This window comes from Homo sapiens, chromosome 14 (genome assembly GCF_000001405.40).
Source record: "Homo sapiens chromosome 14, GRCh38.p14 Primary Assembly".
NCBI lineage: Eukaryota > Metazoa > Chordata > Mammalia > Primates > Hominidae > Homo > Homo sapiens.
This window is the reverse complement of record NC_000014.9, coordinates 27,503,819-27,528,842: the sequence shown is the minus strand read 5'-3', so window position 1 is coordinate 27,528,842 and position 25,024 is coordinate 27,503,819. Positions and strand designations below refer to the sequence as shown.

The 25,024-nt window shown below is 35.4% G+C and overlaps 1 long non-coding RNA gene across 2 annotated transcripts in view, besides 1 other annotated feature; it reads left to right on the top strand.

Moving 5' to 3' along the window:
* Window positions 1-25,024, top strand: part of MIR3171HG (MIR3171 host gene) — a 351,396-nt gene that overhangs the window by 144,379 nt on the left and 181,993 nt on the right. The window lies entirely within an intron of this gene.
* Window positions 22,211-22,712: an enhancer, noted in NCBI's record as "H3K4me1 hESC enhancer chr14:27975337-27975838 (GRCh37/hg19 assembly coordinates)". NCBI's record gives its function as "activates a minimal SCP1, AML or CMV promoter by ChIP-STARR-seq in naive H9 embryonic stem cells {active_cell/tissue: H9 hESC(naive)}" and the evidence as "EXISTENCE:reporter gene assay evidence [ECO:0000049][PMID:30033119]".

Here is a 25,024-nt window from a genome sequence, read left to right as displayed (position 1 = left end):
AAACCTTCCTGCCCCTTCAGAGAAACAGATGTAACAACAGTAAACAAATCAACTGCCTCTCTCTCACTTAAGAGATTTCTGTTTTCCAGACAAAATTCATTATATTTTCTCTCACCAGAGGAACTCTCCCTAATTTGGAATAAACCTCCAACTCCAATTTTCTCCTTGAGAAGGGCAACAAGTAGAACCTATTTCCAACGTTATGATTTTAGGCATGTTTCCCTCAGATACTAGTTTCAGTACCATCTGAATGTAATCACCAAGAGAAATGGGGTGCCTCTGAGAACAAAGGCAATCAATATGCATCAGAGTGTGAAGTATCATAGATAGACACTAGGTGGAGTGCTAGTATTGTACCTTACTACCTCACCAGAGATGCAGCAGAATACCAGACAGTCAACATCAGGTCCTCCTGTGTCAAAACTAGCAAATTTCAATTAGGAGGTTGTAGATACACACAGAAAAAAAAAAAAAAAAATGACCAGATTAGGCTTGAAGAGTCTAGAAAATCTAGCCAAGTTGAGTGGAGAAAGTACTTCCTGTACCAAATCAGACAGCAAATACTAAGAAAGTTGGATGATTTTTCAAATGTCTAACTCCCAACAGAGGATTGTAAGACATGCAAAGAAACAGACATATCCAATTTTAGGGACAAATTTAAACATCAAAAAACAACTCTAAAGAAATGGAGATATATGAATTGCTAAAGAATTCAAAATAACCATCATGAGGATATTTTAATGAATTAAAAGAGAAGAGATAAACAAGTGAACAAAATCATTAAAACTGTCCACGTACAAAATGAGGCTATCAATTAAAATAAGGAAAACATGAAGAAGGACTTCCAAAAATTCTTGAACTGAAGAATATAATAACTAAAATTAACATTTGTCTAGAGGGACTCAACAGCATATTGATGAGGCAAAAGAAAGAATCAGGGAGCTCAAAGACATAATTCTTGAAATTACTGAAGCAAGAAGGGCACACAAAAAAGAAAAAATAGAGAGAGTATAAAACATTCATGGGACAGCATCAAGTGAAGCAACTTATACATATTGAGTTCCAGAAGGAGAAGAAAGAGAAAAAGGAGAAGAAACTTATTTAAAGAAGTAATAGTCAGAAATCCCCCAAATTTGGAGGAGAAATGGACATATAAATTTAAGAAACTCAAGTCCAACTTGGATCAATCTGAAGATACTGACATTTAGACATAACCAATCTGGCAAAAGTCACCCCCACCTCCCCCTCCAGAAAAATCTTGAAAGCAACAAGAGAAAAGGGACTCATAACATACAAAATCTCTTATGAAATTATTAGCAGATTTCTTAGCAGAAACCTTATAAGCTAGAAGGGACCAGATGATATATTCATAGTACAAAAATAAATAAAACTTTGCAACCAAGAATACTGTATCTGGAACACCTGTCATTTTAAAATGAAGAAAAAACAAGGACTTTCCAAGATAACCAATGCAGAGGGAGTTCATTACCTCTAGACCTGCTCTGCAAGAAATGATGAAGTAGTCCTTCATGTTGAAGCAAAAGGCTGACAAACAGCAATGCAAAATGATATGAAAATATAAAATTATCTGCTAAAGGTAAATATGTAGATAAATATAGAGTTCTTTATTATGGTAATGTAGGTGTGAAAATTACTTTCAAATATGGTGTATAATTTTTAAAAAAGCATAAAATGTAATTATAAATTTTTGTTAGATACACAATATAAAATGGTAACTTGTGTAATCAATAACATAAATTGGTGAGTGGGAGAGATATAAAGGAACAGAGTCTTTATATATGATTAAAGTTAAATTATTTTCACTTTAAAATAGATTGTTATAACTTTAAGAGGTGGTATGGAATGCAATGAGAATACCAATAGTGTATGCACAAAGGAAAATTAGAAGAAAATTAAAACATGTCACATACAACTACAAAATAGCCAATATACCACAAAAGAAAGCTGAGAGGGAAGAAAGGAGGGAAAAAAGCCTACAAGACTTACAAAAAGCAATGAAGACAATGGCAATAATAACTTCCCCCTTATCAACAATTACTTTAAACATAAACGGGTCAAATATACCAATTGAAAGACAAAGAGTGACTGAATTGATTTAAATAATATCAACTGACAGGCTGACCACAAGAGACTCACTTTAGATCTAAAGCTGCACATAGACTGATAGTGACATAATGGAAAACGATATCATATGCAAAAGGGAGCCTAACAATAGCAGAGATAGTCACACTTATATCAGACAATAGACTTGCATAGAACTGTTATGAGATTAAAAAGGAAATTAAATAATGACAAAGGAATCATTTTACCAAGAAGCTACAACAATTATGAATATCTATTTGTATAAACTTATAGCTGCCAAATATATGAGGCAAACATTGACATAGCTGAAGAAAGAAATAGCAACAAAACAATACTGGGAAACATTAATATCCAGTTTTTGTTATTAACAGAACACCACGTTTAAGACTAATAAAGAAACAGATGTTAACAACACTATCACCAATTGGATCTAACAGATATATACAGAACACTCCAACCCCAAATGGCATAATATTCTTCTCAAGTGCAAGTAGAATATTCTCCCTGATAGACAACATGTTAAGCCAAAGAACAACTCTTAACAAATTTAAGAAACTTGAAACTATACAAAATATTTTCTCTAATCAAAATGAGATAAAATAAGAAATCAATAGAAGAAGGAAAACTAGAAAATTCACAATTATGGTGAAATTGAACAACTCAAACTTAAACAACCAATGGGTCAATGTAGAAATCACAAAGTGATTTAGAAAATATCTGTAAACAAATTAAAATTTAAACACAACATACCAAAACTTATGGGATGCACCAAAAGCAGTTCTAAAACAAAAGTTTATAGTTATAAAGAAATACATTAAAAAGAAGACATCAAATCAACAGCTTAACTTTATACAAAAGGAAACAGAAAACGAAGAAATAAAAGGCATCCAAATTTGAAAAGAAGTAAAATTATTTCTGTTCACCAATGAAATGATCTACTATGTAGAAAATGCCAAAGACTGTATAAAAATTATAACAATTAATACAAGATTTCAAGAAAGTTGGGGAAAAGGAAAATCAACACACACCTGAAAATAGGTGCATTTCTATACATTAACAATTATGAATTTGAAAACATGAAGAAAACAATTGCATTTACTATATCATTAAAAATGATAAAATACTTGATAATAAACTTAATGAAGGAGGTGAAAACACTTGTACACAGAAAAGTAAAAAAGCACTGGTTAAAAAAATCAAAGAAGACACAAATAAATGGAAATCTCATGCTCATGGATTGGAGGGCTTAATCGCTAAATATTGTTAAAATATCCATATCCCCAAAGTGATCTGCAAAGTCAGTGCAACCACTGACAAAATGTCAATGGTATTTATTGTGGAAATTGAGAAAAGGATCTAAATTTCATATGGAATTTCAAGGGGCCATGAATTTAGCCCTTTATCTGGCCCTGAAAATAGCCAAAGCAATTTTGAGAAAGAAAGACAATGTCAGAGTTCTCACACTTTCTAATATCCAAGCATACTACAAAGTTATAGTCGTTAATACTGTGTGGTACCAGTGTAAAGACAAATATATAGACCAATGGAACAGAATATCTAGCCTAGAAAGAAACCTATGCATATATGGCCAAATGCTTTTCAACGAAGTTACCAGGATTACACAATAAGTAAAGACGGTCTCTTAAATAATAAAGTTGAGAAAACTGAATATCTACATGCAAGAAAATAAAGATGGATCACTACCTTACATCATTACAAAAATAAATTCAAAGTGGATTAAAGATTTAAATGTAAGACCTGAAATAAAACTTCTAAAAGAAAACTTAGGGAAAAGCTTCATGAATTTTCATTTGGCAATGATATCTTGGATATGATATCAACAGCACAAGCAATAAAAGCAAAAATAGGCCGGGCACGGTGGCTCATGCCTGTAATCCCAGCACTTTGGGAGGCTGAGGCCGGCAGATCACAAGGTCAGAAGATCGAGACCATCCTGGCTAACACGGTGAAACCCCGTCTCTAATAAAAATACAAAAAGAAAAAGAAAAATTAGCCAGCCGTGGTGGCAGGCACCTGTAGTTCCAGCTACTCAGGAGGCTGAGGCAGGACAATGGTGTGAACCCAGGAGGCGGAGCTTGCCGTGAGCTGAGATCGCGCCACTGCACTCCAGCCTGGGCAATAGAGCGAGACACCACCTCAAAAAAACAAACAAACAAAAAAACAAAAATAAATTAATAGGCCTACAACAAACAAAAACTTTTGCATGTCAAAGCAGTCAACAGAGTAAAAAGGTAACTTACAGAACAAGAGAAAATATTTGCAAATTATATATGAAAACTGAGACATTAATATACTGAATATATATATTAATATATATGATATATATATATTCAGAATATATAAGCTCTATAACCATACACACAAGAACCAAATAGATCAATTAAAAATGGACAGCAGACTTAAATAGACAATCATCCAAAAAACATATGAAAATGGCCTACAAGCATATGAAAAGATGCTCAACATCACTAAGTATAAGAAAAATTCAAATTAAAACCACAACGAGGTATCATCTCACATCCATTAGAGTGGTCACTATCAGAAGAACAGAAAATCATAAATGTTGGTCAAGATGCAGAGAAATATAACCCTTGTACATTGTTGGTGGGAATGTAAAATGGTACAGTCTTTATGGAAAAACATTGATTTTTTCCTCAAAGAAAAACCCAGAAATATAATTACCATATGATTCATCAATCCCATGTTTGAACATATATTCAAAAAATTTAAAGATATCTTAAAGAGATAGCTGCATACCCATGTTCATTCCAACATTATTCACAATAGCCAAGAAGCAGAAGCAACCTGTATGTCCACAAACAAATGAATGGATAAAGAAAATGTAAAACACATACACACACAGTGGAATATTATTCAGCCTTATATAAAAAAAGAAATTATATCACATGCCATAGCATGTATGGACCTTAAGGACATTAAGCTAAGCAAAAATAATATTTGTCACAATAGACAAATGCTACCATTCTACGCATGTGAAATGTCTAAAGTAGTCAAAATCAGAGAAACAGAAAGTAAAAGGTCTTTGTCAAGGGCTAGGGAGATGTGGGAGACAGAATTCGTGTTTAGTGGGTATAAAATTTCAGTGTTGCAAGATGAGAAATTTCTAGGAATTTGTTGCACAGCAATGTGAATATGTTTAACACTATTGAATGACATACTAAAAATAGTTAAGATGGTAAACTTATTGTTTGATTTTATTAACCACAGTAAAAGATTTAAAGATACATTAAAACTCACTGATAATTAAGATAATCACAAACTAAAATAACACAGTTACCATTACTCATTTAACACATTGAAAGAAATACAATTTTAAAAGTAATATTACACATCTGTGAGATTGTGAGCAATTAGGCTCTCACACATTGTTGGGAATAAAAATTATTACAACTCTTTTGTATGCTAATTTAACAAAATATAACAAAACTACTGATGCACTTTTTTGATACAGCAATATTTTTTCTGGGAATTTGTACTGAAGGTTAACTTTCAATAAGATGGAAATATATATGCACCGTTGTTAATTGTAGCATTGTGTATAATTGAAAAACATTGAAAAAGACTAAAGACTCATACATAAAGTTGTTGAGTAAATCATATTAGGCCCACACAATGGAATGCTATACAGGGTTAAAAATAATAAAAAAGAATCTATGAAATGACATTGTATCATTTGCAAATTATATTTTTAAGTGAAAACATTAAATGCAAAAGAAAGATTAGTATTAATTTTGTATTGCTGCTATAACAAATTACCACAAACTTAGTGGCTTAAGCCATGTAAATTTATTATTTGGCAATACTATAGGTCTGAAGTCCAATATAAATCTCAGTTGGCTAAACTCAAGGTGTAGGCAGGGCTGCTCTCCTTCTGGAGGCTCTAGAAGATCACCCATTTCCTTGCCTTGTCCTGCTTCTAGAGGATAGCCACATTTCATAGCTTCTGACTCTCCTTCTTCATCTTCAAAGCCAACAATATTTAGTTTTTCTGGTTCTTCTTCTCTTGTCTCTTTCACCACACCCAGAAAAGGGTCTCTGCTTTTAAGCAGTTGTATGATTTGATTGCACCCCTCTGGATAATTCAGAATAATAACCCATTTCAAGTTCCTTAACCCTAATCGCATCTTCAAAGTCTCTTTTGCTGCGGTGTAATCCATTTCCAGGGATTAGGATTTGGGCATCACTAATGGGAGGCATTAGTCTACCTGCCACAATGCCACCTTTATGCAAGAAAGCCATGGAAATATGAAAATTCATATGTTACCTAAAAGTGTAGGTGGGAATGGAGTGGAATGAATGGACGAATGGGGACAGGATAAACAAATAGAGTGACACTTTTCTGAGCATAATTCTTTATTTATTACTTTTAAAGCCATGTCAACATTACAAAAACTAGAATATAAATATATACATGCATGCATACATAAATTCAATCTGGATGTGGGTGGAAACTCCAACACAATACAAATAGAAACAAATTAACATAAGTACTATAAGTAAATAATATTAAAACATTGAAAATTGCAGAGAACAAAATAACTAACCTCACTACAGTTGACAGTGTTTTGGTCATATGATCTAAGTTGAAAGACAAAAAGTACTATACACAAATATTGTACTCCAGTTAACAAATTTTTCATAAGAATATGAGTTAGCAATTCTGAAATTACTTTCGTTATATTCTAGAATTGAGCACAAAAGTAAATGTAATATACATAATAAGATCCTAATTTCTTAATAAATACGAGAAAAAAGAGTTACAGACAGAAAAGGCGGGAAGACTAGAATAAACCCTCTGGTCTTGGATTACAATTGGTGTTATCAATATGAGTTTATGGTTGTTTACACAGAAACACACAATAAGATAGATGTAGGAATCTCTCTCTTTCTCTCTGTTTATCTTTGTCTCTTTCTCTCCATTACTAGGAAACAATAACAGGTTAGAGGCTTGCAAGTAGAATTTGAATTACTAAATGGGGACATTATGAAAATAGAAAATCGCCATTTGACAAACAACACAGTAATATTTGTTGAAGGCAAAAATCACTATCGAATGCTATAACTGGTAAGCAAAAGTATGATAGAAACAAGATAGATACATGATATTAACAACACCCCATAAGATATTAACTGTAAAGGGACAAAAGGAACTTTTAGTAGAGAAAACTGGCAAATAAAGCCATAACAAAGGGATGAAATTTTACATCACTAATAATGTGACATATCACGTATCTCCTGTTATGACACACTGAAAAGGCATACATTACTTCTGTGTTATTCCTACCAAAAATGGATAAGCTAAATTTAATCAAGAGTCATCAGCCAAACCCAATGGAGAAATCCCACAAGATGAAATTCTCAAAGTTGTCAAGGTCATGAAGAAAGGATTGAGGAAATATGTCAAATTGGACAATAAGAGACATGACAACTAAATTCAATGTATGATTCTGATTGGATTCTGAGCTGAAAGTAGCATTAACAGGGCAGTTGGTGAAATGCGAACAGAGTAAGCAGATAATTTACAAGTAGGATATCATTAAATTCCTGGTTAATTTTTATCATTTTACTATCGTAGACTCTGTCATTTGAGAAATCTGGGTGAAGGTTACACAGAATTCTTTATAGTAGTTTGCAAATTTTCCTGAGAAATTATTTAAAATTGTAAATCAAAATTTCAAAAATAAATATAAAATATTGAAATGTGTTTGTAGCTTTTTGAACCATTGGCCATTTTTAACAAATGGTATTAGGCTGCTATGATTTAGTCCATGCTTCTGAAGTAGAAGTCTGTCCAAAGTAGAAGCCAGCCTGTCTTCCCTCTTTCCTTCCTCTCCTTTTGTTTCTATAATAGAGAGTAATGAGTGAATGCATTTAATTTTAAAAAGTTGTATAGTTTCAGTCATTCACAACAACAATATTTTGTCTCTGTGAGGATTACTATAAGTGACTGAAGTACATCTGTGGGGCTCTCTCTTCTACTTCTTTCATCTATATCATCAAAGCTGGAAAAAGACCTTAGCTTCTCTTGGAAGAAAAATCCAGCTATCTCTCTATTGTTTTTTCTGAGATGTTGTAACAATGCCCCAGGTTCAATGTTCTAACGCAAGAGAGGCTTGGGTCCTAGGTTAAATTAGATGAAAGCTTGCATGAGATAAAACCAGTTCACTCTGCTTCTGTTTCCTCTAACATTAGTATCTCTTTTTGATCCTGGGCACCTTTGCAGTAAAGAAAGGGAAATAAGTGAAATATAGAGATCATTAGGAATAACTTGCTTGATCTTAAGCAATTTAAACTTGATAAATTGAGGAAAGGGCAGTTTTACACAGTATAGTTAATTTTACCATAGCTCATAGCAGTAAGAAATTGCAACAAATATAGATTACGTGTTTCTCTTTTGAATCATCATTTACAGCTTTACCAGTCTTTGGATAGTTCAGAAGTGATTGCTTTGTGGGCAGTTTACTATCCCTATATCTATTCTCTTATTATGTATGGTATTCTTAGCTGATTATTTTAAAGCTACCTAGAGCACATCAGCGTGGTTTTCTAAGGATTCATTAAGTTATTGCTGACATAGTTGGTTCATACAGGAAATGGGAAAATGGATTTAAAGAACATAATTGCATAGTTGATTGTCTCTCTCAAAGTCTTCTATTTTATTTTCTTGGTCTGTTATATTTCATTCCAATGTGTTGATATTTTTTAATGGCTGTTAATGACTATTACCTCTGGGGTCAAATAAATGTGGGTTTGAATCCCAGCTTTCTCACTTACTTGATGTTTTAAGTTATGTTTAAGGAATTATTTCTTCTATTGTACTAACCAATGTGAAAATGTAGAAAAAATATTATATTATTTCTATAATTGCTTTCAAATAAAAACTAATATTTACTGAAAGTTCATTTTATGTCAGATATTTTGATAATAATTTTAATATAAAGTTTCTCAAATAATCTTTAAAATGCCTCTGTGAACTAAGCACTATTTTCATTCCCATTTAGCAGAATATATTGAGGATTAGAAATTGAGGTAATTTACTCAATGCCACATGTCTTGAAATTATGCAGTATGGCTCTGATTGCTTATCAGAGTCAATAATATAGTTCCAAATGTATTAATTTATTCATTCAGAAAGAATATTATGTATTAGAAACATGTGCCAGATGCCTTCTGCAGACACATATGACTTGCTTTTCCGAGAGTATTAACCCTAATGATGAACAATGAAATTTGCAGCAATAGCATTGTGAATTTGGGTAAAAGAGAACATGCAAATATAAACTGTAAAAGAAAATTCTTCTCATTCTTTAAATTTTATATAACCCAGTAGTTAAAGCCAAAGCTCTTTTTAAAAAATCAGTTTCAATGAAAATCATTACATGATTCCTTGAAAAAAGTCAAATCAAATAGTAACTTTAGAGCATGAATTTTTAAAACAAATATATTTGTCGCAATCCCTTCTTCATGCCTCAAAGGCCACAAATCCAATTATAGAAATTAGATGATTATCAGAAAGAATGTTAATAGCTTCTACTTTCAAAAATGCAGAGATCTAGATGACATTCTTTGCAATTTCTGGAGTAAATTCTAAGAGTGTGCATTTTCCTGATGATCAAAAAGTCGTCATTTAACTCATGCTTATATCAGGGAGACTATATTACTGTAATATATCATCTGTGTCATTTGGCTATTGAATAGGCCATGAATTTTATGCATTTATAATAAAATGGAGATATTACTTGCACAAAGGCAAGATCAGCAAATGGTTTTGTTGAAGGTTGTGAGGAATACTGGCCCAGAAGCCAAATATATATGTAAAGGAACACACAAAATAAGAAACTTTAATGAAAATGTTGGAGTGTGCTTAGTGAAGAAATGAGGGACACATTGCATTGAGAATAATACTTATCTTGGAAAAACATTGGCTCTTTATTTTCTATAATGATGAGCTGATGAAAGAACAATACGAAATATGTAAAAAAAGAAAAAATGTTGACTACAGAAAAAAAGAAATAAAAAGTAGAAATAAAGGCAAAGTGGTTAAAGACAAAAACAAGAAAATGGGAGAAAAAAACACAAGAAGAAATTGTAGATATAAATTTAAAAATAGACATAGACGGCCCGGCACGGTGGCTCACGCCTGTAATCCCAGCACTTTGGGAGGCCGAGGTGGGTGGATCATGAGGTTAGGAGTTCGAGACCAGCCTGGCCAACAGGGCGAAATCCCATCTCTACTAAACACACACACACACAAAAAATTAGGTGGCCATGGTGGCAGGCGTCTGTAATCCCAGCTACTCGGGAGGCTGAGGTGGGAGAATCGCTTGAACCCTGGAGGCGGAGGTTGCAGTGAGCCAAGATCGCGCCATTGCACTCCAACCTGGGGAACAGGGCAAGGCTCCATCTCAAAAAAAAATAAAAATAAAAAAATAAAAATAGATATAGACCTGGAGAGAAGTTTTTTTAAATCAAGGAAATAATGTGTTGTCGTGTATCTTCAATAAAGCTTATGATATTCACTAATTACTAATAAAATTTCATTTATGTTTCAATATAATCACTTCATATCACTTCCTTTTATGAAACTAAATATTTCAGTAATTATTACACAGCTATTCAAATATTTTTATCTAAACATTTGTAAATATCATCTGAATATCTTACCACAGCATCAGGTCTTTTATACATTTATACAACTATGCCACAATGACAAACTTAGTGATGACAGAATTGCTTTCTATAGTAGAAGCAATACAAAATTAATCAGTTATATATAAAGTTAAAAAAATATTATGCTGGGTACAATGGTGCAAACATGTAATTCCAGATAATCTGGAGGCTGAGACAGGAGGAATACTTGAGGCCAGGAGTTCCAGACCTACCTGGGCAGCATAGTAAGGCCCCGCTTCTCAAAAATTTTTAAAAATGTATATTTCAAAGTATTTAAAAAGTCTTAAACAATATGAAATTTTAGAAAACTGAGGTAATCAATAATTGATAACAACTAGAGTTTCCTTGGAAGAGATGGCATTTAAGTTACATTTTGCAGAAGGCTTCAGAAGGTATTAGGTAATCCAGCGGCCCAGTGCTAGACATAGTAGTGGTAAAATGCAAATTCCATTAAATAACATATGGTTATTGATATAGTTTGGCTGTGTCCCTACCCAAATTTCATCTTGAATTGTAGCTCCCATAATTCCCACATGTTGTGGGAGAGACCCAGTGAGAGATAACTGAATCATGGTGTCATCTTCCACCATACTGTTCTCTTGGTAGTGAATAAGTCTCATAAGATCTGATGGTTTTATAACGGGAAACTCCTTTCACTTGGCTCTCATTCTCTCTCTTGCCTGCCACCATGCAAGATGTGCCTTTTGAGGCTGCCCCCACCATGTGGAACTATGAGTATATTAAACCTCTTTTTCTTTATAAATTACCCAGTTTCATATATGTCTTTATCAGCAGTGTGAAAACAGTCTAATACAGTTATACTGCCTATTTCTTCAGAATAATATTAACTGTTCTCTAATATTCCTGAAAATAATCATAGCAGCTTAGAAATAAATGAATGAGTATCAGTGATGCTTCCTTGACTGGTATATATATTTCTGAGGTTTGTATTATTATATGGGCTTTATAGCCAAGTTCTAGATATAGCTGCAATTGTTATCATTAGTTTTACCGCAGCTTTTTATTTTTCTCAGTTCAGACATTTTTATTTTAAACTAATCCTTACACTGTTCTCCTTGCTATTGCCTTATTATTCTCCTTATTTAATCCCTGTATTAATAATGCCATCAAATGTGCAACAGTCCAGTCTGAAGGGAGGAAGCAGAGAGGAAGTGTCAGACAAATAGAATGGTAACCAGTCTTGTGTTGGAAAGTGGGGGGGTGGAGGGGAAGTGAGAGAGAGAGAATTTAAATGAGAATGGAAGAAGCCAGGGGAGAAGAAAAAATTCAATTAAGAAATAAAAGATATGTAAAAACAAATAATAACTATCCCACAAGAGGAAAGATGACAAGACGTTAGTAGACATCTATGGAAAATTAGTCTTGAAAAGTAGAAGTAACACCCTGAAACAGAGTGGAGAAGAAAGTTACACAGAAACATAAGTGAAGGAGGAGAAAACCACACAATGATCTGATAGGGCAGTATTTTTGATACTATAAAGATGAATTAATAGAAATGTAAAATTAATAAATATATGTACAGAATACAAGCCAGGTTTTTTATTATTATATATTGCAACAGACATAAAATCACTCTGAGAAATACACTCACTTCCATGCTTCTTCATTGTGGATTGGTAACATATACTATGTGAAGTCTAGCAATCTGTGGACCATACTTAAAGTAGGGCTGGTTTGCTTTTTCAATCTGGGATTGATAAACAACTTAAAATAGAAAAGGATCTGGATGTGCAAGTTGAAATCACTTAGTCACAGAAAAAGAAAATAAATTTAACACAAACCATAAATTTAGGAGAAATGTCAGATCTACAAATATCTAGTATTTCAAAGAGGGGCAAGACAAGTGTTGAGGAAAGTCAAATTTAGAAATGACAACCTTTAATACGGCTTTTAAAAATGCTATATTGATCCAGTTTTAAGACCCTGGGTAGGGGATGCTCGGTTCTACTTTTCAAGGAGCTGATTGAGTCCACACCCCGAACCACCACTCTTATCAAGTTTTCAGGCTCCAGGCATCTATACGTCTGTCCTAATCACGAGTGCCTGGCTGCAATTATTCAAATCTTCCCACCTTAAACCTGCTTACCCTATCTCACCCTTTCATTACAGCAGAAACCACCATAAAGGCACTTGCCCACAGTTCCCCTCTTTCCGTCATCCTTGTGCCTGACCCAGGTTCGTCCTCTAAGTAGCCCGGCCAAACCTGCTTTTTTCTCTCCAGGGAAATGTGACTATAACATATCTGTAAAACTCTTTCCACTTTCTCTCTTTAGATCTGTGACTGGCCTTATCATACCTCACCCAGAGTAATATGGTTAAAACAAGTGGCACGGTGAACAGGGTAGTTTGGCCCCAGATAGACAGACAGGCCACTAGACTGCCCTTGGCTTACCAATTAGGTTCACCAAATGGGGAGGCAGCCTAGGGAGACACTGCTGCCTGCTGGCATGCTGGTCCTGGAGCTCTGACCACTGCCACTATATGCTGTTTGTTTTAGTTTTGCCATCGCTTTCCATCCTAAAATGTGCAACTCTGTTCTGAGTCCTCACCAAGTTTCCACCACCTGAGCACAACTCTGTGACCTAACCTATTTCCCAGTACCTAAATGTCTGAAGTGACAGCTTTATAAATTTCCCATTTTGCCGCTAACATGCAGGAGCTGGAGGACAGATTGAGGGTGAATATTCTCCTAGGACCCATTGACCGTGGCTTATCCCACAGGCCGGGCAGCTGTCCATCTTATTTGAGACTCTAAACTTCCACCACACATCAATCCTCCTTAATGTTTAGGTTATAAAAGTAGATAATTAATTCAGGCTCTCCCTCTAAACCCCTCCAGGAAATTAAAATTATTACTACCAGGCCACTTTTACAGACAGTCTTGACAACGACAAAAAAAAAAAAGATAGAAAACACTACTCAGTAAAAGAAAAAATATATATTTGGAAATAATAATGAAATCAACGCTATATCCCATACTGATGAAACCAGATGCTTCCTTGATTATACTACATGCCAGAGAAAAACCAACATCAGACAGCAAAACCCTGCCAAGTACAGCTGCACACGATTGTGTTGACTATTGATCTTGTTACTCTTGTTCAGGGTGCTTTTATTGATTTGCAATCCATAAGCCTAAACCTTCCAAACAAACTGCTGTTTCAACCAAACACTGCAAATTCTGAGGCCCTTATGCCACCTGGTTTGGCTAATACAAGCCCTATGATCCAAAGACCTTGCCATCTTTCACATCACCAATCAAATTAATTACTGAGGCAAACAGCCCCTAGTAACTGGCCAAATTAGAAGGACTGCCTACAAACTAATGCTGGAGCTCCAGCATTAGCCTCATTATAATACTATATGTCTGTAAAAACAAGACTTACGTCAACTTGAGTCCCCTTTGGAAATGATACCTCACTCCGGCATCTTAGATAATGTCACCTGGCATAGGGCCTTGCCATTAGAGATGGCATTGTGTCAGATGACATTGCCCCAGTGCATGACTTCGCCATCGGAGATGACTTCACCCTCTTTAGTTAAATGTAGCCTTTGGAAGCACGACTTCAGTGTAATTAATCAGTGAATCAAAGCCCATAGTTTCATTTCAGTTTTCTTATTGACTCAAGATACTGTTTTCACACACCATCTGGATAAAGCATCCCTGGACCAAAGAGAGGTTCCTCTCTGTGTAAGATTCCTTCCTTGTTTTTGATGCCTTCTTTTGAAGCAATGCTGTAAAACCTTGTTTAATATTTTATACTTCATTTTCTCATAATAAACAAAAGATTTTGTTTTTCCCTTCCAATAACTGGAACATTTGAAGAAATCCATGGTTTTTATTAGTATGCTATTGAGATCTGCAGTATATGAAGAGAGTAGAACATGAACAATGAATACAAATGGCTCAAAAAACTCCAGAATGTAGCCATTTGAAGCTATGTTGATTTGGAGAGGATCTATTTGATGTTCTTAAAACAGTTCTCAAACAACTCCTTATTCATACCGCTTCTAGCTTTCCATGGACTTCTGTATCGGAAGTGAGTTCATCTGATCCAAAAAGGAAAGAAAGAGAACTCTTTAAAATCAAGACTGGTGGCACATGTAAGCCCAGTAAGTCAGAATTTCCTTGCCTTGCTGGAGTGGGTAGGCAAAAAAGCTAAACTTCGGTCTATAAGCCAAAAATTAATAAGAAAGAGAGAAAAATAACAGAAAGGGAGAGAGAGAAAGAGAGAGAAAAAAAGAGGAAGAGAAGGTGATGGGAAGGGGATGGAAGGATTGTTCCTGGGGTAAGTTACTGTTTTTGTTTTTTGCTGTTGTTGTTTACAGATTTACAGAATATGAGTGCAGTTTTGTTACAGGGATATATTGTACAGTGGTGAGGTCCTGATTTTTGATGTAACTATCTCCTGAGTATGAATATTGTACCCCACAGGTAATTTTTCAACCCTCAACCCACTGGCAACTTTTGATGTCTCCAATGTCTATTCTTTCACTCTGTATGTCCATGTATACCCATTTTTAGTCTCCCATTTATAAGTGAGAGCATATAGTACTTGAGTTTCTGTTTCTGAGTTATTTCACTCAGGACAATGACCTCCAGTTCCATCCATGTTGTTGCAAAAGACATGATTTCATTCTTTTTAATGGATGAGTTGCATTCTTTGGTGCATATATACATATGTGGCTTATATATGGTGTATATATACCTCCTATACATGATATATATAGGGTGTATATATAACTATACATGGTATATGTGGTGTATATATACCTATACATGGTGTGTGTGTGTGTGTGTATATATATATACACATATGCTGTATATATACCTACACATGGTATATATATGGCGCATATATACCTACACATGGTATATATATGGCACATATATACCTACACATGGTATATATATGGCGCATATATACCTACACATGGTATATATATGGCACATATATACCTACACATGGTATATATATGGCGCATATATACCTACACATGGTATATATATGGCACATATATACCTACACATGGTATATATATGGCACATATATACCTACACATGGTATATATATGGCGTATATAAACCTACACATGGTATATGTATGCTGTATATATACCTACACATGGTATATGTATGCTGTGTATATACCTACACATGGTATATATATGCTGTATATATAACTACACATGGTATATATATGGTGGGTATATGGTGTGCGTGTGTATATATATGGTACATATCTATGGTGTATGTATATATGGTGTATATACACATATGTGGTATGTGTATATTGTGAATAGTGTTGCCCATAAACATAGGAGTGCAGCTGTCTTTTTGATATAATTGTTTCTTTTCCTTGGGTAGATACTCGGTAGTGGGATTGGTGAATCAACTGATAGTTTTTTGTTTTCATTTTTGTTTTGTTTTCTTTTGTTTTGAGACAGGGTTTTGCTCTGTAACTGCTCATGCAGTACAGTGGCAAGATCATGGCTCACTGCAGCCTCCACTTCCTGGGCTCAGGTGATCCTCCCACCTTAGCTTACCAAGCAGCTGGGACTACATGAACGACCTTGTAGTGTAACTTGAAGTCAGGTAATATGATGCCTCCACCTCTGTTCTTTTTGCTTAGAATTGCTTTAGCTGTTTGGGCTGTTTTTAGTTCCATATGAATTTCAGGATTGCTTTTTCTAATTCTGTGAAAAATGACATTGGTAATGTGATAGAAATTGCATTGAATCTGTAGATTGCTTTGGGCAGTACAGTCATTTTAATGATATTGGTTTTTCCAATCCATGAGCATGGTAATTTTTTCCATTTGTTTGTGTCATCTATGATTTTTTTCATCAGTGTTTTGAAGTTCCCCTTGTAGAGATCTTTCATCTCCTTGATTAAATGTGTTGCTACTTATTTTTTGTAGCTGTTGTAAATGGGATAGAGTTATTGATTTGGTTCTTAGCTTAAAAGTTATTGGTATATAAAAATGCTACTGATTTTTGTACCTTGATTTTGTATCCTTTATTGTGGTCATTTACCAAATCTAGGAGTCTTTTTGAGGGATTTTTTAGGGCTTTCTAGGTATAAGATTGTATCATCAGTGAACAAAGATAATTTGACTTCCTCTTTTCTAATTTGCATTAGTAATAAAAAATCTCTCAATAAAAAAAGCCCTGGGACCAGATGGAATAACACATAAATTCTACAATACATACAAAGAAAAACTAGTACCAGTCCTACTGAAACTGTTCCAAATAATTGAGAAGGAAATCCTCCTTAACTCATTCTATGAAACTAGTCTCACCCTGGTATCAAAGTCAGGCAAGGATGTGACAAAATAAGAAAACAACAGACCCATATCACTGATTAACATAAATGCAAAGATCCTCAACAAAACTAGCAACTGAATCCAAGAGCACATTAAAAAGCTAACACACTACAATCAAGTGGGTTTTATTCCAGGGATGCAAGGATGGTTCAACATACACAAATCAATAAATGTGATACACCACATAAACAGATCTAAAAACAAAAACCATATTATCATAACAATAGATGCAGAAAAAAAAGCATTCAATAAAATTCAGAAAAAAAACAACAGCCAGCATCATATTGAACTGGGGAAAGTTGAAAGCATTCCCCCTAAGAACTGGAACAAGACAAGGATACCCACTTTTACCACTCCTATTCAACAGAATACAGGGAATACTAGCTAGAGCAATGAGGTAAGAAAAAGAAAGAAAAGAGATCCTAGGGGTAAGTTTTACTGAGAGTCGTTTAGCCAAATCCTGCATTCCTCTTAAAAATATATTATAATGTACTGCTAGATTTCCTGTCATATATTTGGATCCACAGTATTCTTTCCCTAGGGGAGAAGTTATGCTTATTTTTATTCAGAAACTCTGTGTCTGCCTCGAGGGCCAGAGTTATATTTTAGAGAGAACAGAAATTATGAATGCATAAACATCAATAGAAAACGATGTGTCATAATATCTGCTGACCATTATTAAGCAAGCTGAAGATATTCTAATTTAATATTACTTTTTCACACAACAGTCATGTAAATTGATAAACTTATAATTTTTGTCTATAACTTACCATTTTTCTAGAAGATTGATGTATTTAATCTCTTCCTAGGATTTTTGGAAAAAATTGTTTCTTCCTCATAGAAAATAACTCATATTGAATATCCAGCACACCATACTTATTTCCTTTTAGTTGTTTGACTTAAAGAGAACATGTACATATGCTAGACATATTCAAATAACTTTTCAAATATTTCTACCCCTCTTTGTGCCTCAGTTTCTTCCTTCATATAATAGAAATGATAATAGAACCTATCTCATTGTGTTAAGTAAAAGTTAAGAGGTAATAAAAGTAAACTTATTTACAAATATTTTCATTTACAAATATTCATTTTCAAATGAATATTACATACTTTGATTTACAAATATTTTCATATTGCTCATGCATTTGTTCAATTTAATTTTTTAACTTGTGGAACAATTATAATACTGCTACCTAGGTATTGACACACCTATTTGTGTATGACATTGGAGAGATACATTATAGTTCATTTAACCAGCATCCTATTAACATTTAAGTTATTATAATTTTATTTTCTATTTATTCATTTGAGTTCTTACATTCAACTTTATTTTGCATATTACAAAATGCATAACCCTGGTATAAGCTCTAAAATTAGGATTCTGGTGCAAAGGGTTTTTACATCATTAACTTTTATAGCTTTCAAACTTAGTAAGTCTAAGTTTACAAGCAATGCAGACTCTTAGGAATTATGTTTGATATATATTTCATAATTTGATCTTAGCAGTGCATATATTTTTAGTATTCTTATATAATAGAAGAAGGATTTAGTGTAACGTATGATGACTTAGGCAAGCACAATATTCAGCTATGTATATTTTGTGGTCAGTGGGACAATACACATTATGTGGTTGAAATTAGAGAAGATATATCTATGTTTAACATTTAAAAAATTGATTTTTATATAACTCCTAATGTGTTCTCATTTGTCTTCTGCTTGATTCATTTCTAATCCTTTCACAGGCAGCTTCTTTTTTAGATATGCATTCAGTGGTAAGTTAGTGTGAAGCTGAAACCAGAAAATCAATAGAAGGGTGAAATACTTCTCATATTCTTTATTTGCTTTCTCATCTTGTTCCTACCAGGGAGGATGTCAGAGGTCTGTCTATAATGAAAAAAGAGAGTTATTATATTGCCATCTTAATTTTTGCTTACCCTGCTCAAAGGATTTAGGTTTATGAATGACTAATAAAGCTTAAGACAATAATAAATTATTATGCTTTTCTATATTTTCCAGGCCAACTCAGTTAGTCAGAGTTTCTTGAGTTCTCAGAATAATTCTCTAATCGTGTGGTAAATTAAGTTAGAAATGGGGAAACAGGACAATAACTTGCACATTCCTCAATTAAGTTTTTTTAATATTTAGAAACAGTCTTGGTTGTACGTACACCAAGTGACATATAATGCATTATGTTGAATATTTACTATATGTCAGACAATATTCTAGGCACTCAAGACTTTTTTTTTTTTTTAATTTGCTCTAAGTTTGTATTCTAGTGAAGAGACACAGTAAGCAAATAAACAAAATGTAAAATAGTACTCTATCACTTGGGCCCTCCAGAAAGCAGTCCCTGAGATTGTTAGGATTTCAGTGAGTTTGGAGGATACTACCTGTGAAAAATAAAGGAGACAGGTAGCACAATTGGGCAGGGAAGCTTTTAGACAAAAAGCTTTCAGCGGATCTGATCTCTGTGACAAAAAAAATAGGGAGAAAGCAAGATTGAGCTGGGAGAACCTCAGACTATGATGCAGATCTGACAAGGATTTTACCAACCAAATATGGATCTTTGGAGCGAAGATTGTCAATTAGAGGAGGCCCCACTTGGACAGAAATGACTTCGTTGTATTATTCCCAGGACTTGTAGTTGTTGGCTGAGGTCTGCATAGGAAAAATTTGAATTTTGGCTAAAAAGCTGAGGCTGGTACTGAAGGTGGTACAGCTGATGGCTGTCCATTAACTTCACTCCTGCAAGCTGAATCAAATTATTTATTGAAGGAATACCTGAGCAATGCATCTCCATGGCCGTAACAAATGATAATCCTTTAAGAACAAATTTGTTTGAGGGATAGAGTATGATGAGTAGGGCAGAGGGTGGTGCCATTTTAGATAGGTGACATAAAACGTGAGCTCACTGATAGACTCTTTAAAGGGATAACAGTTGCTCAGGGACATTAGTAAGGCGAGGAAAGAAGCCATGCAGAATATCTGGGAAGAGCATTCCATGCAGAGGAGTAGTATTTGCAAAAGCTTCAGGTAGTAGTTTGGGGTAAGGAATGGGAAAGAAGCCAGTGGCCTATAACAAAGTAAGTTGTGTCCTGGCATTAAACTATATTGACATCAAAATACGAATGAAAGTGTAAATTGTCAAGAATAGACAGTGAAATCGCAACTATGAGAGCATGTGGTGGTTAGAATAATGCCAGATTATAAATAACACTAAAATCTTTCTAACTAAAAGTGTTATATTGGTACATGAATGGGTCAACTAAGCAACGGCAAAAAGTAGGCAATCAAAAATATTCACAAAAAGTTATAGAACTTTTATGGAATAAAACAAACTTGTAAAACAGTTCAGAAAAGACAAAACTTCTAATAAATGTCATTGTGTCACCTGAACAGACACAATGAACAAAAATTAAAATAGATGTGTTCTCCCACCACCACACTGTGGAATAAAATCAGTTGGATCAGAATTAGACATTTTAAAATATTGAGACCATTCAGTCTTAAAATAAATAAACTATGAATAGATTATTATAAATTCAGAGTGGATAAAATTATTCTAAATATAACATAATTCAGAAGCAATAAAATAAAAGTTTGAGCAATTTGATTATATAAAGTTCAGAGAAAGAGGAAGAAAATATCTGTGTAAATGGCAAAATTTTAAAACTCACACACACACACATTTGTGTACAAATTCAGAAGTCAAATGACAGCCTGGGGAAAAATTACAACATATCTCAAAGTCTTACAATGCCTAATAAGCAAGGAAATTCTGAAAATTAAAAAGCTGGGTGTTGTGGCTTGTGCCTATAATCCCAGCATTTGGGGCCAAGGAAAGCAGATTGCTTGAGCTGAGGAGTCCAAGAACAGCCTGGGAAACATGGCGAAACCCTGCCACTACTAAAACTATTAAAATTAGCCAGGCATGGTGGCATATGCCTGAAGTCCAGGCTACTCAGGAAGTTGAGGGAGGAGGATCACTTAAGCCCAGGAGTGGTGGTTGCAGTTGAACCAAGATTGCACCATTGCACTCCAGCGTGGGTGCCAGAGTGAGACTCTGTCTCAACAAAAAAATAGAGTCAGGGCAAGATGGCTGACTAGATGCAGCCAGATGGAACACCTAGCTGCATGTTCCATCTAAGATGACTGGCGTGCTCCTAACAGATCTTCAGAAGGAAGGCACTGAGAGTGGATGGAGGAAAGACACAAGAAGCTGGGCTGAAGGGGGAGGACAATGGGAACCCTGCATGAGGCTACTATGCATTGGGATTCATTCCTGGTCCCCAGCAACTTCAAGGGAATGAGTGAGTTGAACTAGTAAGGAGCAAGCCCTTCTTGGCACAGGCCCCTGGAACTCTGGCAGGAGGAGACCCATCAGCCACCACAGACACAAGTTGGCAGGGAGAGCTGCTTATAGAAATAATAGAGGTAGTAAGCCAGCTGAGTTGGAGCCCTATAGTTGGAGCACAGCCAGGGACAGCCATCCCCCTAGGCTTTACTTGACCCCATAGGACATTTTAGCCCTAGGGGAATTTTTGGACCAGAATTCTGCAGGGTGATCTTGCCCATAGATGGGGCTGATTTGACCTGAGCACCACTTGGTCTGCTCGCTTCTCTTGGGGGCCCACCCTGACAGCCCCTGCTTGCAGGGAAGCCTTGGGTGCCTTGGGGGCCCGTATCATAACTCCTGAGCTGGCAGACTATGCCTGACGGGTATAAAGCACCAGTGATGGAGCCTCCAACCGCGCATCAACCTGCCCACTCCATCACCACACTGCAGCTTCCCCTAGGTCCACAGCAACCTCCCAAATCACTTTGCCAGTGCATGTGTGCCCAAGTAAGTTTTGCCTTCCTTGCCCCTCCAGCACACATATATTCATGCACCCTGCCCTGCCACTGCTGTGGTAGAAATGCAGTCTGCCCCCTGCCACCACCAATCACCATTGAAGTCAGAGCCTTGAGGGGCACAGAAGCAGCCAGCCCTACCCTTGCCAGCACCTTGCCCATGTGCCAACGCTGCCTCAGGAGTGAAACTAGGCACAGAGAACAGTGAACCCTCCCCTCCCCTGAGAGACCACCCCCACCTGCAGCACACAAAGAATGCACACACACTTGCACTCATGAACATCCCTCCCATGCCAACAGCACCACCAACTGGACCATATGCATAGTAGCCAGCAGGGGTCTCCTGCCCCACTGGACCATGTTGCCTCTACCACTGTAGTGAATGCCTGCACCCTGCTGCAGCAAATGAGTCTGCACCCAACCACACTTCCCCTGCCACTGCTGCTGGCATGTGTGAATGAGCATGGATGCTGCTTTGGTGCTGACACCACCCATTGAAGTGTAGTGACCAGTGGTATGGGAGTACTTTAGTTGCCCCAGTGGGGTGGATTCCTAATGTCAAGGAGCCAGAGAACAAAGTCATGGCCTGATACAAGTACCACAGAATTAGAGCATGCATTCCAAGAGTTGGGAACTAAGTGTTGCCCCACTAAAATCTTTCATAAATGAAACCAGGCAGTTGAATTCACCTTATACCACAATCAAATCCTCAAAGTCATAAAATAGGATAAAAGAAAAAAAACTCCCCAAAGGTCAGCAACTTCATGGATTCAAGGAATACCAGCCCACAAAGATGAGAAAGAACCAGTGCAAGAGCCCTGACAACTCAAAAAGTCAGAATGCCTTCTTTCCTCCAAATGACCACATTACCTCTCCAGCAAGCATTCTGAATGGGCTGATATGGCTGAAATGACAGAAATATAATTCAAAATATGGATAGAAATGAAGATCATTGAGATGCAAGAATACATTGAAACCTAATTCAAGGAAGCTAAGAATGACAATAAAATTATTCAGAAGCTGACAGACACAATAGCCGGTATAGAAAAGGATTTAGCCGATATGATAGATCTGAAAAACCCAGTACAAGAGTTTCATAATGTAATCATAAGTATCAATAGCAGAATAGACCAAGCAGAAGAAAGAATCTCAGAGCCTGAAGACTGGCTTTCTAAAATAAAACAGTCAGACAAGAATAGAGAAAAAAGAGTTAAAAGGAATGAACAAAATCTCTTAGAAATATGGAATTATGTAAGGAGACCAAACCTATGAATCATTGGTGTCTCTGAAATAGATAAGAAGAATGTGAGCAACTTGACAATCATATTTCAGGATATCATCCATGAGAACCTCCCCAACCTAGACAGGCCAATATTCAAATTCAGAAAACAGAGATAAATTTTGCAAGATACTACACAGGAAGACACATGAAAATAAGATTCTCAAAGGTAGAAATGGATGAAAAAAAATGTTAAAGACAGCCAGAGAGAAAGCACAGTTCACCTACAAAGGGAGCCCCATCAGGCTAACAGTAGATGTCTCAGCAGAAGCCCTATAAACCAGAAAATATTAGGAGTCAATATTCAACATTATTAAAGAAAAGAAGTTCTAACCATAATTTAATATTTGGCCAAACTAAACTTCATAAGCAAAGGAGAAATAAAATCCTTTTCAGACAAACAAATACTGAGGGAATTTTTTATTACCAGACCTTATTTTCAAGAGTTGCCAAAGGAAGCACTAAATATGGGAAGGAAAGACCATCAGGAGCCACTACAAAAACACACTTAAGTACACAGGCCAGTGACACTAAAAAGCAACCACATAAAGAAGTCGGCATAATAATCAGGTAACAGCATGATAATAGGATCAAAACCACACATATTAATACTAATCTTGTATGTAAATGGGCTAAATACCCTCAATTAAAAGGCACAGGGTGGCAAGCTAGATAAAGAACCAAGACCCATTGTTATGCTGTCTTCAAGAGACCCACCTCACATGCAATTACACCCATAGGCTCAAAATAAAGGGATGAAGAAAAATCTACCAAGCAAATGGAAAACAGCAAAAGGAGGCTTTGTAATCCTAATTTCAGATGAAACAGACTTTAACAAAGATCAAAGAAGACAAAGAAGGGCATTACATAATGGTAAAGGATTCAATTCAACAAGAAGACCTAACTATCCTAAATATATATTCACCCAAGACAGGAATACCCACATTCATAAGGCAAGTTCTTACAGACCTTCAAAGAAACTTAGACTCCCACACAACAATAGTGGGAGACTTCAGCACCCCACTGACAATATTGGACAAATCATCAAGGCAAAAAAGTTGACAAAGATATTCAGGACCTGAACCCAGCATTGGGTCAGTGGATCTGATAGACATATATGGAATTCTGCATGCCCATATAACAGAATATACATTATTCTCATCATCACATGACACATACTCTAAAACAGATCACATAATCCAGCATAAAACACTCCTCAGTAAATGCAAAAGAACTGAAATCATAACAACCAGTCTCTTGGACAATAGCATAATCAAATTAGAAATCAAGACTAAGAAATTTGCTTAAAACCAGGCGACTACTAGAAATTGAATAACCTATCCCCAAATGATTTTTGGGTAAATAATGAAATTAAGGCAGAAATCGAGAAGTTCTTTGAAACTAATGAGAACAAATATGCAATGTACCAGAATCTGTGAGACACAGCTAAGGCATTGTTAAGTGGGAAATTTATAGCACTAAATGCCCACATCCAAAGGTCAGAAAGATCTCAATTTAATAACCTAACATCACAAATAAAAGAACTAGGGAACGAAGAGAAAACCAACCCCAAATCTAGCATAAGACATGAAATATTCAAAATCAGGGCTGAAGTGAAGGAGATTGAGACACAAAAAGCCATTCAAAAGATCAACAAATCCAAGAGTTGTTTTTGTGAAAAAAGTAATCAAGTAGACCACTAACTAGACTTATAAAAAAGGAACGAGAGAAG